Here is a 15,419-nt window from a genome sequence, read left to right as displayed (position 1 = left end):
CCATCCACCCCCGTCATTTTGTTTGGATTAGCTGAGGGCTCCACTTGTGTGGTACGTTTTGATTTTGTCTGACACAGTGTTCCCATCGCATCCTCCCTCAAGTAGGTCTGGAGGAAAAAATGTACTTAGCTGAGAAGTCACAATCTCTGTTTTTTATGCTTCCAAGGAAACTTAACAGGAAATGGCTTTGCTTTGCCATATTTAGGATAGATTAGAGTACAGATTCAAGGAGTTTTCCTCAAGTTACATTTTACACAGAAACTCAAGGACAAATGCAAAGAAAGAAATGGTCTCAGAATCCAACTCCAGGATGCTTATAGGGTCCGATTAAAGCTTTCCATTTGATAGATGAGGGTATTAATTTCTGGTAAGGGAAAAGGTTTTACTTAAAGCTGTGTAATGAACTACTGATGGCTTAACAACCAGGACTAGAACGCAGGTCTCTTGTTGCTCTTATCCATAAAATAGAAATTCAGCTAAAACATACTCTATGGATCTGTAAAGTCATACGTTTTCATTTTAACTCTGATTCCAATGCAGTGACCAAAAATTGTATTTCTCAGGTTTGGTCACCTGTATTCTCATGTGTTTGTGAAGGGTGGGTACAGGGAACAATGCAGAGAATATGGGCTTCTCAGGAATCATCATGGAGGGAGTTCTATGGGGTCTATAAAGAGTGAAAGCAGTAAAGGTAAGATCAACTAGTTCTAGATTTGCAAGGTCTTCATAGGACGTTGTTCCCTGCCACCTGGAGATTGTCTTCTTTTTACTCTTTAACAAAAGTGTGAGGAGAGATGGGGTGACAGAGAAATATTCAACACAAACTAGTGCATTACATTGTTTTCTTCTAGAGGAACAGTAAGACAGTCTCTACAGCAGAATGGTGAGCAGTGGAAGCTTCCACAAGATGAAGCAACTTTATTCAGTACGTTTTTGCAGAACAGGACATGTACCTCAGCATGCTGTAGAGAAACAGCTTTTAAGTTGGTCAGAAGGTAGGCAGGGTTGTACATTATTTTCCCCCAACTTTGTGAGGCAATAGGAGGGAAGGAATAAAGGTAGGAAAAATGAAGGGTGACAGGGTGAATTTAAAAGAGTGTTCTGAAATATTCCGAGTCTGTCTTGATTTCCTAACCATGTTCCATCGATAGGCCATGCATGCAGGCTTTGATCCATTTTAGTCACAGAGGAAATCCTATTATAAAGAGAGATTCAGCCCCACTTTCTGGGAAGAGTGAAAACACTGGGAATTAAGTGGAGTTTCTAAGCAAAAGGAAAATCCAAAGTGCCAGAGATGACTCAGCACAGGTCAGTATAGCTCCTATGTTGTAAAATAGGAGTTTTCTAGTCCCTCTTCATCCTCCCAGGTATGCTGGGATACTCTGATTAAACAGCAATATCCATATTAACCAACACTTCAGTTCATTTGAGTGCATTTCAATACATTAGGAGCTGTGAATGTATTAGGTATTTTGAATGCATTATATTTGATCCCAGCAACAATCTTGAAATGCAGATATTATCAATGAATCTTCTACAGAAAAACACAACAGAGACTCAAAGTAAATTATTTAGTCCCAGGTCACATGGTCCCATGGCACAGTAGCTGTAGAGTTTAATGGTTAAGAGCATGGACTCTGGAAACAGAATACCTGTGTTCAAGTCATAGCTTTGCTGCTTGCTAGTGGGGGAAAATAGACAGCATCTAAGATGGCCCCAGTTGATCCCCATTTCCTGTTATTCATGGACTTCTTCTAATCTTTTCCTCTTGAATAACCTACCTGTAACCAACAGAATATGGCAACATAGTGGGGCTGTCATTTTGTTGAGTAAGTTACAAAAGATTGTGGTTTCTTACTAGTGGACTCTCTCTGCTGCTGGCTTTGATTAAACAAGTTGTCATGTGAGAGAAGTCTTTGTGGCAAAAAACTGAGGGTACCTCACACCAACAGCCAGTGAAGAATGAGGGCCTTCAGTCCAATGCCCATGAGGAATTGAATTCTTCCAGCAGCTATGTGAGTTAACCTGAAAACAGATTCTTTCCCAGTAAAGCCTTCAAATGTAACCTGTTTCAGAGGACGCCTTAATTACACCTTTCTAAGGTTTGAATTTGCGCTCATGAAAACTCATGTTGAAATTTGTTCCCATATGTGGCAGTGTTGGGAGGTGGTCTAGCGGGGAGGTATTTGGGTCATGGGGACAGATGCTTCATGAATAGCTTGCTGCCCTTCTCACGATAGCAAGTTCACACTCTCTTGAGAGTTAGTTGTTATAAAGTCAAGACACTCTTTGGGTTTTGTCTCTTTGCACATATCTGCTTCCTCACTGACCTTCTTTGCCATGTTATGAGACAGCATGAAAGCCCTCACCAGAAGCCAGGGCTATGTCCTTGAACTTTCTGCCTATAGAAACATAAGCTAAATAAACCTCTTTTCTTTATTAATGACCAAGCCTCAGATATTCTGTTACAGCAACACAAAATAGACAAAGACGCAACCTTATGAGAAACGTTGAAGCAGAAGATCCAGGTAAGCCATGTTTTGATTCCTACCTCACAGAAAATGTGAGATAATAAATATTTATTGTTTTAAACTTCTAAATTTTGGGATGATTCTTTATGCAACATCAGGTAACCAATATAGGGAATGTGAGCAATTTCTTTAATTTCTGCCTGCCTCAGTTTTTTTACTCCTACTGTAGAAGTAGATCATCGTGATTATTTCATAGGGTTACTTAGAGGATTCTGTGTGAATATATATACAAATATATATATATATAGCCTGACATTGGGCAAATGCTGCCTAAGTTTGAAAATAGCAAAGCTGATATTCAAACCTGAGTCTGTCTGCTGCCCAAGCCCTTTGCCCTGGCAGCAGGCTCTCATGCACCATGCCAGTCCATACGAATATTGTCTTTAAAATCTACTTTACACCTCAGTTATGATTTTGTTTCTTGTTTCTTGCTGCATCCCTAAATTTATTTTATCCCTGACTCAGTGATGGCTTCAATTCCTAAACTCATTCTTGACCTTTGAACCAAAGAGGGAATTGACTTTTCCACTTGACTGCTTAGCATGTTTTCCTGGACTCCTATTCATTCTAGGCTTCCCGTGTCCTGTGCCCAGTTTAACTCATGCCTAGTATCACTGTGCCTCATTTCTGAGCTTGGAACTAAAGTTACATGCTACATAATGGCATTTTGGTCAATAATAGGACATATATATGTCCTGGTGATCTCATAAGATTATAATACTGTACCTTTTCTGTGTTTAGATATGCAAATACTTACCATTGTGTTATAATTGGCTACAGTATTCAGCATAATAACATGCTGTAGAGGTTTGTAGCCTGGGAGCAATAGACTATACCATATAGCCTAGGTGTGTGGTAGGCCATACCTTCTAGGTTTATGTAAGTACACTCCATGATGTTCACACAATGGCAAAATGGCCTAATGATGCATTTCTCAGAATGTATCCCCATGGTTAAATGGTACATGCCTGTGCCCATGGTTAAGTGACACGTGCCTGTGTATCAGGATCTGTATGTGGTATTCTGGAAAGCCAGAAAGAACAATGACTAAGGGCAAGAAGATTTGTCTTCTTTCTCCAATTCCTCCTTAAAGTAACTCACTTTATCATTTTCTGCATCTCAATTCATCACATGTGACATGGGTATTATAATTTCTATCTTATGGAGACACCATATGCATTAACTACGACGTGGAAGATAGAACAGTTGACATTAATTAGGTGCCCCGATAAATACTAATCCTGCTCTTGCATTCCTTAGCTATAGCACTCCATGGTTCTAGCTGTAAGTGCTTCAAGTAGAGGCCATGGAAAGTACTAGAACATCTCTCTCTCTGTTATGACCCCTTCTCCATTCTTCCGTGACCTCTTTCTCAATGGAATTAATATTTCTATTTGGGAAAATGTTAGGCAGCTTCAGAGATAAGTCCTTCAAGTTTTCTGAATGTGCGTTGGACTTCTGGGGCAAAAAGTCAGCCTGTTTTATACCCTATACTTCCTCCCTCCTGTCCTCATTCCATTGCTAAATCACAGGAACCCTGCCCTTCTCTCCCATCTTCATTCCAAGTACCTGCTTGTTAAGACTTCAAGAATATATAGACATACAGCCACCGTGTGTCCCAGATATTCTAGTTTGATCAATCATATTATCATGTAGTTTTTACCCACTGGCTCCCATAAAGTTCTCTAAGCCTTAGTTACTTCGTGCATAAAATGAGGTTAGAAGTCCTGTTCTGGAGCATAATGATAATGTATATAAAATGCCTTACACACAAGACTCAATTTAGAATTATTATTGTCTTAAAGGTTGTGCAAAGCTAAATTGTTATTTATCTTTGTAAAGATTTCACTATGCATATATTGGTAAATTTAAAAATCCTTTGTCAGATTATTTATTCCTCCTAAACCAGAAAATTTTCAGGATGTCAATAATACTGAGTGTAGTTGTGGTCACTTCAGTGTAGGCCAATGGAACACATGTGCAATGTAGACCAAGCTAGGCTTCAATCTCATCTGGGCCTCATAGTAGCTCAGTTCAGCTATGCAAACTTGGCAAGCTCCTTGGCCTTGCAGACTTAAGTTTCTTCATCTGCACAATTGTTATACTGCAACACACCTTGCAAGGATTTTGTATACATGAGCTATCTATCATATACTGGGGACTCAATATGTTAGCTCTCTTTCCCCAGCAACATAGCCTTTCCAAGATATCCATTTTTACTAATTGAAGATAATGCCTTGCCTTGTTTTATCTGGTGTGGGATTTTATAATGTTAATGTTCCTCCGTGAGTGAAAGCTGCCTTAGATTAGGCTCTTAATACATGACCTAAAACATGGATAACCCATCCCCCTCACCACCCACCTCCTCCTGTAACTCAAAGATTTGTTTCTCATCTAGAAAAATCTTTCTTTAAAATTCAAAAGGCCAAGGCCAAGGGGTCTTCTGAGAGAAATCAAATCCCTTTATACTTTGCCAGATAATTTTCCCACAAAAAGGAAATTCTACAAATACTCAGATGACATCACCGAGAAAAGGCTCTTGTTTCCCCCGGGCGCAGCCTCCCTGGAAGATGACAAGGGTTAGGAATAGAGGAACCCTGGGCCACTTGTCGGATTTGGCAAGCGGCAGCCAACAGCTGGTCTGGCCGGTTAATTAGCTCTGCACTCTGCTCCTGTCCAGCCTCTACTGGCAAAGGCAGAAGGAAGCGGCTCTGGCCTGCTTTTCTCTTTCTATTAACAAAGCCCAGTGCCACTGGATTACCTTGGCCTCCAGCCAGGGCTGTGCGCCCTTTGCCTGCCTGTGGGTTGCCATGGCAATAGTGATGTGCCTTTTGCCAAGGCAGCAGCTGGTGGATGGGCAGCCCATTACCTGCCAAGCAGATCCACTAGCTCCAAAGTACAAATCTTTCTCAGATAAGTAAAATAAATGGGGGGGTTGGGGTGGGGGATTTCTAGACTTAGGAAACAAGGAAGGAGGATTCTCTACACCTTTTGCTCCATTTTCCCTATTTTAATTTACTAACAAAAGGTGACTATCTTCCTTCATTTGTCCAGATGCCCATCTGCTAAACACATAGGCCCATCTCATGAATTTTTCTGAAGAAAGGCAATAAATAATTTATTCTGTGTCTTTGCAGCAAAAAACATGCTGCCTGCCCCTAGCATCCAGAGGCAAAACACAGTGTCTTCCACACTGCAGAGCAGGGCTTCAGCAAAGGAAATGTGTCAGTCTGTTTGTGTTACAATAGCAGAATACCAGAGACTGGGTAATTTATTTTAAAAAAAATTTTTTTCTTATAATTCTGGAGGCTGGGAAGTCCAAGGTCAAGGGGCCCCATCAGGGGACAAACTTCTTGCTGTGTCATGATATGGTGGAGGGCACCACGTGGCAAGAGGGCAAGAGTGTGTATACTTGTTCAGTTCTTTTTTTGTATAAAGCCACCAGTCCCATCACAGGGAGCCACCTTAATGACCTTATCTAATCCTAATTAGCTCCCAAAGACTCCATCTCCAAATATCACCAACATATAAATTTGAAGATTGTTTCCAACACATGAAACATGGGGAACACATTCAAACCATAGAAAAAGGGTCCTAGGCAGAGGAAAGAATTTCTGGAAAGACAGGAAGGTATCGCCTACAGTGAAATTATTGTGAAAATATTGTGGAAAATATAGAGTGGGTGATGGTCCTTAATTAGGAGAAAATAACCCAGAGATTCCGGGTCCTGATTGTTAGAATACCTTATTTCATCTTAAATTTTATCCAGAAAGCATTTGTTAAACGCCAACTGTAGATACACTTAGTTTTTATGGCATTTCAAGCATCAGTTTCCTCCATCCTCCACGTGTAATCAATACTGGGACTATCTAGATCAGGGAAGATTTCAAAAGGCAGACCAAGGGAAGTGAGAAGGACATTTCAGGCAGAGAAAGTAGGTTAACCTAGGGATACAAACAGGATTGAAGTGGGGAATCATGAATGCTTTGCATAGCTTGAGTTTGGGAGCTTGTGTATGGAAGAGAGTAGAGTAGAGGTGTAGTCAGGGAAAGCAGGCTGCAGTTTTTCATGTATTAGAGGAATATGCATTGAGAAATTTGCATTCTGTTCTCTAGGCAGTGTGGAGCTAGTAAAGTTTCTTAAGCCTGGAGTGAAGCAACTGGTTATGCTTTAAGATTTAAACTCACTGTGTTTTCCAGAATGGATTGGACCAAGGCAAAAGACAAAGGGGGTAGGGACATGAAAGGCCTGAAAAAGGGTAACAGTGGTAATAATGAAGAGGAAGCAAGTTCAAGACCTGTGTCAGCAATGACTCAGTATTACCATACTAATAGCTAATATGATGAGAGGCCTTCTATGTCTCCATAATGATTGTTCTCTATGCATGTCCATCTTTAGCTCACACGTCAACCTCGTCACTGTCATCATCATTATTCCCACATGGTCTCTATCTTTAAGTCCCACTTTACAGATAAGAAAATTGACTCTGAGATGTTACTGTAATTTCATAGCTGGTAGTACCAGCAAAGCGTTGTTTTGTTGTTTCAATTAAAAGAAGTCTGATTCTAGATATTTGAATCTTAACAATTTGACAGCAATGTCTCCCAAATTTCATTCATTTCTGGGCCATTGTTTTGGTTAATATTGATTATCAGCTTGATTGGATTGAAGGATGCAAAGTATTGTTCCTGAGTTGTGTCTGTGAGGGGTGTTGCCAAAGGAGATTAACATTTGAGTCAGTGGATTGGGAGAGGCAGAACCACCCCTAATCTGAGTGGGCACCATTTAATCAGCTGCCAGCATGGCTAAAATAAAGCAGTCAGAAGAACATGGAATGACTAGACTTGCTGAGTCTTCTGGGCTCTTTCTTTCTCCCATGCTGGATGATTCCTGCCCTTGAACATCAAACTCCAAGTTCTTCAGCTTTAGAACTCTTGGACTTACACCAGTGATTTGCCAGGGCCTCTCGGGCCTTTGGCCACAGACTGAAGGCTGCACTATTGGCTTCCCTACTTTTGAGGTTTCGGGTTTTGGACTGGCTTCCTTGCTCCTCAGCTTGCACATGGCCTATTGTGGGACTTTACCTTGTGATTGTGTGAGTCAATCTCCTTAATAAACTCCCCTTCATATATACCTCTATCCTAGTAGTTCTGTCCCTCTGGAGAACCGTGACTAATACAGCCATGCAAAACTCATAATCTAAGGTAAGGGGTGGGTTAGCAAACTTTTTCTGTAAAAGGCTAGTTAGTAAATATTTTAGGTTTTTTGGCCATGCGGTCTATTTCACAAATAATCTGCCATTGTAGCATGAAAACACCAATAGACAATACATAAACAAATGAGAGTGACTGTTTTTCAATATGATAATCCTTTATTTAAAAAAGAAAAAGCAAAAATGTAACAGCAGCAGATCAGATTTAGCCTGTGGGCTGTAGACTGACACCCCTGATCTAAAGTTAAAAATATAGGAAGGAGGTCTTCTTTGGATGTAAACATGGTACAGCTAAGGTGGAGGATTAATGCACTAGACATGGAGGAATCCTATAGTTCGAGAAACAAAAATTTATGGTCTAAAACACCTTTAGATTTCATCTAGTCCAAGGGCTGTAAACCTAAACAGATTGACTAGAGATCAGCAATATTAGGGAAGGACTGGGAATGATGAGCTTTGGGGCTTATCTCTTAAAGAAAGCTGGGCTAACTTTGAAGATATCATCACCAATATGCCTTTTGCTTTCCTAGCAAAATCAGTAGAGTAAAGCTTAACAAAAGTTCTTTGGCTAAAGTTATATAACAGTTGAAATTAAAGCACATTATAGGGGACTCCATGATAGCATAACTGGTACTACAAATGGCCTTTGGAGGACTTGTAAGTCTCCTGAGATTATTGGCAGAATTGTTTGGAGATGTGTGTGCATATGATCACTCCCCCTACACTGTCCCCTACCTGCAGATAAATAGTACAAGTCAGTGGATGAAGATGCTAGTGTTGCACTGAGACAAGCCGAGGTGCAAACATGGTATCTCTCAGTCATTAACTTTGTTACAGAGAGCCAGCTTAACCTGTCTTAGTTTACAGATCTATAAAACAGGACAAAAATACCAACATTTGTGTGTAAGGGGGATGATGTTCTGATGATTGAATAATGTAAGCCATTATGGTGTAAATTAGATATAAATCATTACATACAGAACCCCTTAAGTAGGATTTAAAAAAAAAAAAAAAGACAGAGTCTAGCTCTCCCAGAAAGAGGGTAGTGGAGTGGTTAAATTCATCGTCTCTGGAGATAGAAACCTATATCGCATTTTTTTCATTTGCAAAATAAATAACTAAATAAAAAATAAACATGGGTAAACACAGAATTCACTTCATTGAGGGAGGTTGTGAGAATAAAATGAGATGGTGTTTATGAAGAGTTTAAAGAATACCTGACACATAGCAGGTACTCTTTGAGTTAATAATTTATACAGGTGGGTAAACTGAGCCCTAAGATACCATGTGACTTGCCCCAAATCAGAATACTTCTTAGAAATTTTCCAATTTTGGAAGTAAGAGAATAGTAGAAAGTTTAATTCTAAAATATGGCTTTTGTTTCTACATGAAATTTAAGAGGAAAATGTGTTATGAATAATAAACATTTCTACAGTGCTTGCTTGATGCCATTGATATTCTAAGTGCTTGCATTTACCTTTCATGCATCCTCTCAACAACCTTATAAGGTAGGCACCGTCTTTTATTTTCTTTCTTTATTGTTTTTGAGACAGAGTCTCACTCTACTTCCCAGGCTGGAGTGCAGCGGCATGATCTCGGCTCACTGCAACCTCTGCTGCCCTGATTAAAGAGATTCTTGTGCCTCAGCCTCCTGAGTAGCTGGGATTACAGATGCATGCCACCACGCCTGGCTAATTTTTATATTTTTAGTAGAGACCAGGTTTTACCACATTGGCCAGGCTGGTCTCAAACTCCTTGCCTCACGTGATCCACCCGCCTTGGCCTCCCAAAGTGCTGGGATTACAGGCATGAGCCACTACGCCCGGTTGATTTTTTCATCTGAAGAAATCAAAGCACAAAGAAGTTAAAATACATTTTCAGGGTAACTTGGTAGTAAATGGTAGGGTTAGGATTTGAACACAGGCACTTTGCTGAGCTGCCCTTCCTATAACGTTACTAAGTTCAGGCAGAAGAGTAGTAGAGGGTAATGAGAAAAGGCAGTTGTGAAAACATAGGTATATCGCATCGCCATAGATTTGAGAGCACAAGGACAGAACCCCAAACTCCTAATCAGAAGGCTTCAGAGTATGAGATCTGTCTGATTCAATAAGGTTGTCCAATCATTAGGTGTTTGCCTATAGTCCACCTCCTCGATGAAGGCTGAACTACACCCTTCTTCATCTCTGGGGAATTATTCTTTCCCTGTTGTGTGTTCCCATGGTTCCCTCATCCAGACTTCTGTTGTAGCCTCTGTAGCACAGTAAGTGTGTTGGATTACCTTCTGTCTATCTTATTTGTAAGTCCTTGAAGATGATGGCTCTGTCTTATCCATCTTTGCATTCTCTGGACCAGCACAATGCCTGGCACAGTAAAGCACCTGATTCATTTTTACTGACTACATAAACAAATCCACAAAGAAATGTATGAGAGAAAGGGGTGGGTTCAGAGGTCATGCTAAGACTTGAGGAAAAATCAGGACTTTGTGGTAATGAACTCCTCAGCAGCCTAATGAAGCTATTGCATGACTCCCATCCCAGCTGGATGTTAAAAGGAAAGCTGACACGAACCCGTGTTCTGCTAAGAATAACACCTACAAGATAGCAATGTTTGAAATAAGCCTGTCTCTGGAAAGGGTCCTGAGCCTTGTAATTTTACTTTTATAGTCATGGCCCCAGCATGTTTGACTTTTCAAATCCCCTTACTGAGATCCAAGGGTCTGTTTACAAAAGCCGTATCTTAAACTTGTTCCTCTGTGAAGTACAAGTGGGATTTGTACTCCTCTGTATAAACTGGTCCCCTGGAGCGACACTGCATTCTCTCCTTGCTGGATTTCTCTATTTCATGGAATGGGAAGAGAAAGCAAACAGCATCATACAGAGTTGGTTATAAACGTCTCTCAGGAACCAACCCCTCTAACAATAACAATAACAACAGTAATAATAATAGTCCCAAACCACTATCTCCCAGAGCAAATGGGAACTTAACAGGAAAAATGAGATGAACACCAGAAGAGAAATAGAACAGTTTATGTGCAATGTTCTAGGCAGCAGACAGGAGCCAGGGACATTGGAAACAGGGCTGAAAAACAAAAGAAACCATTTACAACACAAAGTAAAAGTATTCAGGACTTAATTCAGGATTCAGGAAGAGCTACCAGGACATCAAGTTTATGGGATTCCAATGTGGTCTGGTTAAGATATTTAGGACCAAACCACACCCCTGTTATCACAAATACATCATGGTGGCTTTACAATGTGTCAGCTTGGCTCAGCTGAACTACATTTCCCAGAATTCCTTTTCTAGCACGTTTCTGGACAGCGTGGGCCACAGCAGAGATTCTTGAGCAATATTTTAATGGTACCAACACCATTTTGTAGATGACAAAGGATGTCACTTACCTGTTTGCTCACTTTGTCAGCATGGGGCAATAGTTGGACTGGAAGCTGCTCCAGCTTCCTCTGGTTTCTTTTTCAACTTCTCTCTCTCCTGGACCAGAGGTGTATGGTTAGCCCTGTGATGAAAGTGCCAACATCTCCTATAAGACACCCACACCCTCAAGGACAGAGGTAGCAAGAACTGACACAATTTTCGGCCCATCCTTGTGGGTTCCAGCTTGCCCTTGTTTCTCCTACTTTAATCCATCTTCTCTCCCTGATGGGCTTCAGGGTGCAGCATTGGATGAAAAGACAAGAACCTTATAGAAACTCCTTCACCAGCCCCACAATTGTGCCAGGTCAAATCCCTGTAATGAATCCCTTATTATATATGTATTTATATTACTTACAATTTTGCATTTCTGATTGGACACTGGCACATCTTCAAGAAAATGGAAAGTTCACACACTTTGAGCCAGAGAAATGGACCTGGGTTCAAATCCCACTCTTGTCACTCCTTATTTTTAACCTTCTATATAGATTCTTTATCTTGATGGTCCTAGGACTTCTTATGTGTAACATGGAGATAATGCCCACTTTATAGGGATGTTTTAAAGAAAATAAGTATGCAAACTACCTAGCTTATAATAGTGACCCATTATGATGGGAGGATACTTTGTTCACTCTTTACTTAAGGTAGCTTCTCTTTTCTCCAGTCCATCAAAATAAGCTTTATTAGGACAAATGGTACTGGATACATGTTCCTTGGTTAATTTGTGATGAGTTGTTACAGCTGCCCATTTCCGGAAAGTAATGCAGATGAGGCTGGTTTGACTCAAGCCATGCTTGCTTCCTACGAAGTGAGTCACTGTAGACCATTTCCTCTTCACTGCAGGGGTATACATGTCTCACTCAGAATGAGCTGAGAACATGTGGCACAGATTCTAATCCCCAAACGTTTCCATATGGCCCCTGGCTGTGGATTCCCCAGCTCTGACTCGTCCATCTCTCCTTGCCTGTCTTGGTTATCAGAGTGCTGTGGGCCAAAGTTGCTGAAAAAGACAATGAGGGCCTTGCTAGTCAGCTTAGTGAGTCTGACGAGCCCCTAGCTGAGTCCACCAGTGATCTCTCAGTATTCAGACAACCAAGGGTATCAGTGTCCTGACCCTGGGAGCTGTCTTTGGATGCAGACAGCTTTCTTTAGCCTAATGATGGGTATTATCAGAACTAGATTCCCGAGGACAAATCCAAAAATCTCCCTTGTATTTATCTAACGAAGCAGAAGGTACAGAGAATTAGTCCAGAGAACCGCAAATATCTAACCTTACCAGGTTAACTCACTGCAGAAGCAATTGGAATTAATAAAAGAAGCATTGGGTTGAAAGTAAGAAGATGGAGATTCCAGTCCATGTCTATATTTCTTACATGGCTAAGGGAATTGTGGAAAGCCAGTAGGACTCAGTTTTCTCTTCTGTTACCAGCTCGAAGGTCCTTCAACATGGGTTAATAAAGAAGACTATATTATCAAACAATAAATACTTTTGAATATTTATTATTTGTCAAGTACTTTGCAAAGTTATATAGAATAAACAAAAAAGACGTGATTTCTATCTTCAGGAGAAAGCCAAATATTGAACATTTAAAAAGTTATTACATAACAAGTCAATAACTGAAAAAGTGTCAAAGGCAGAATGTGATTTGTTGCTGTGTGACTTGCACAAAAAATGTCTTTCAAAAAATCAAAGAAATTGAAAGAAAAAGCAAGGGAACTGTGAACTAATTGAAGATATGTTTGTTTTTGATAAAGTATAGGATCTGGAGAGGTTAAAAAAAGAGAAAAGAGAGAAACAGGCAAAGAATTAGATTCTCTGCTCAAACTAGACAACTGGTCATGGGACAAGATTCTGGGCATCTCAGTCCTCAGTTTTCTTACCTACCCTGGGGAGTTATCAGGTTAATCTTAGAGGGAGTCAGCCTGAGTAAGTAATTAGGTGATACTCCCTAGTGCTTTGAACATCATACAAATGGCAACCACTGTTTATCGGCCAAATGGCATCATTAAACCCTAGCGATACGTACACAGAGACCTTGGCAAGCAAAGGGAAAGGAACTAAAATAAGCATAAGCTATAGGATTGTCCCTAAGAAGGTTAACAATCCTATTGGGAAGATGTGATTTTTAGTCAAGGAACTATTTCAGCCGCAGTCCTTGAAACTGTTATGTAGACCCATTGTGAATCTACTAAACTGAAGTAAAATGAAAGTAGGTAATCTGGCTTGAACTACTGAGCCAATATAGAATCAGAGCATTTCTACTCAAATCCTCACTCCCTGCCACCCTGGAATAGTGCAACACTGAAAATTTATGCAAGGAGAGGAAAATGTGTGAAAATTTTCACCACAATCTCTTCTCTCACAAAGCCAAGAACTTGGTGTCTTTTTTGCAAATTTGCAAAATGACAAAAAGACTTCTCAGGCTGTTGGGAACAGATTGTCCCTTTGGCCCAAGTGAAAGGGGGGTGAGGGGCTAACTGCTGAGTAAGAAACATGTCTGATGCACTGATATGATATTTTTATTTAAACTTTAGTGGTTTGAATAGGATGACTAAGGCTTTTCATAAAATTATTATTTTGGCCTTGCAAATTTACAGATCTGTTTTCAGTCAAGTTGATCTTTGTTTCTTGCAGGGCAATATTTCAAAAGGGGAAATTGGTATGGTTGACCTAGATGAGGGCATCTCAGCATTCTTCCCTTCATGGGGTCTTAGTGAGGTGCATTATTGGGCCTGACTCCCAAACGCAACTGACTTATATTTTCTAACTTTTCAAGAGACTGTCTTTTGATATTTTAGAGTACAGAAAGATGTTATAGATTATATCCATGTTCCAGCCAGCTGGCACAAATAACAGTATCATGATCACTTATCATGGTTCCTTAATTTGAAAGAGTTTTGGTTTAAAAAGAGCTTTCATATTCATTATCTTAATGACATTCTTTTCATTTCGTACTTTACCTAATGCTACCTGGCAAAGTTGTCCAGGTCCGACTTCTCTAATGGATGTCTGCTGAGGGTAGTGGTAGGTGTTGTTCATCTTGGTTTCTACCACAGTGCCAGGTGCTTGTTTTGCAAACAGTGAGCATGTTTTACCAGTGATTTTCCAAAGCGATTTTGACTCCCGCAAAACAACCTTGTAGGTTAGGTGAGGCCAGAAATGTTGCCATTTAATTAACCAAGGCTAAAAGAGGCAATAGGTCTTGTCTAAGGATCAGCCCATCCACCATCATTTCCTCCTTTTTATCCAGGCCGATAATTCACAGATGCCTTTGTTTCACCCAACATCCCTGTCTTCACCTGGGTAACCCCTGGTTATTCCAAGATTCATTTCAGAGTATTTCTGCTCTAAAATAATACTATGATATGAGACCTTGACATACTCTCTTCTGTCTTCTCTCAAAGTAATTCTGATGATATATAGAGACAAAAACTCATTGAAAAGCCCCTAATACAGGACTCTCAAACTCTTGCCAGAAATTGAAGGAAATTTCACTTGCTGCATGATATGCTTCGGCTCTGTTTCTCCACCCAAATCTCATGTTGAATTGTAATCTCTGATGTTGGAGGTGGGGCCTGGTGGGAGGTGATTGAATCATGAAGATGGTTTCTAATGGTTTAGCACCATCCCCCTAGTGCTGTCTCATGATAGAGTTCTCACAAGATCTGGCTGTTTAAAAGTGTGTAGCACCTCCCACTTCATTCTCTTCCTCCTGCTCCAGCCATGTAGGACATGCTGGCTTCCCTTCAACTTCCACCATGATTGTAAGTTTCTTGAGGCCTCCCCAGCCATTCTTCCTGTACAGCCTGTGGAACCATGATCCAATTAAACCTCTTTTCTTTATAAATTACCCAGTCTCAGGTATTTATGTACAGCAGTGTGGGAACAAACTAATACACTGCAAAACTTCAGCAATTCAACAAAGAATCACCATTTATGGCTGTTGTGTTCACACTGCTCTTTGAAATGAGATAGGTCCACTGGTTAAAAAAAGAGGTGAGAAAATGCTTTGTCACATCCCCCTCATGTATATAGCTATTTTTTTTCATCATAGACTCAGAGTTTTGGTCCACCAGAAAAGAATGTTATTTTTCAACTGAATAGGGCCAACTTATTGAAAGGTAAGATATTCTATCTCATCCAAGAATCTTTTCCAATAATAAAATATGCATAAGTGCACATACACACACATACACTACCCCCCACACTTACACACACTGTACATAAGTATTTTTTCAAATTCTTTTAA

General features: G+C 40.3%; 1 annotated feature.

Moving 5' to 3' along the window:
* Positions 11,452-12,651: an enhancer, noted in NCBI's record as "CDK7 strongly-dependent group 2 enhancer chr8:129799489-129800688 (GRCh37/hg19 assembly coordinates)". NCBI's record gives its function as "activates an origin of replication core promoter dependent on BRD2, BRD4, P300/CBP, MED14 and CDK7 cofactors, with strong dependence on CDK7, by STARR-seq in HCT116 cells {active_cell/tissue: HCT116}" and the evidence as "EXISTENCE:reporter gene assay evidence [ECO:0000049][PMID:35650434]".

Source organism: Homo sapiens, chromosome 8 (assembly GCF_000001405.40).
Source record: "Homo sapiens chromosome 8, GRCh38.p14 Primary Assembly".
In the NCBI taxonomy this organism is placed as follows: domain Eukaryota; kingdom Metazoa; phylum Chordata; class Mammalia; order Primates; family Hominidae; genus Homo; species Homo sapiens.
Note: the sequence above shows the minus strand (reverse complement) of the source record. Positions and strands in the feature narration are given on the sequence as shown.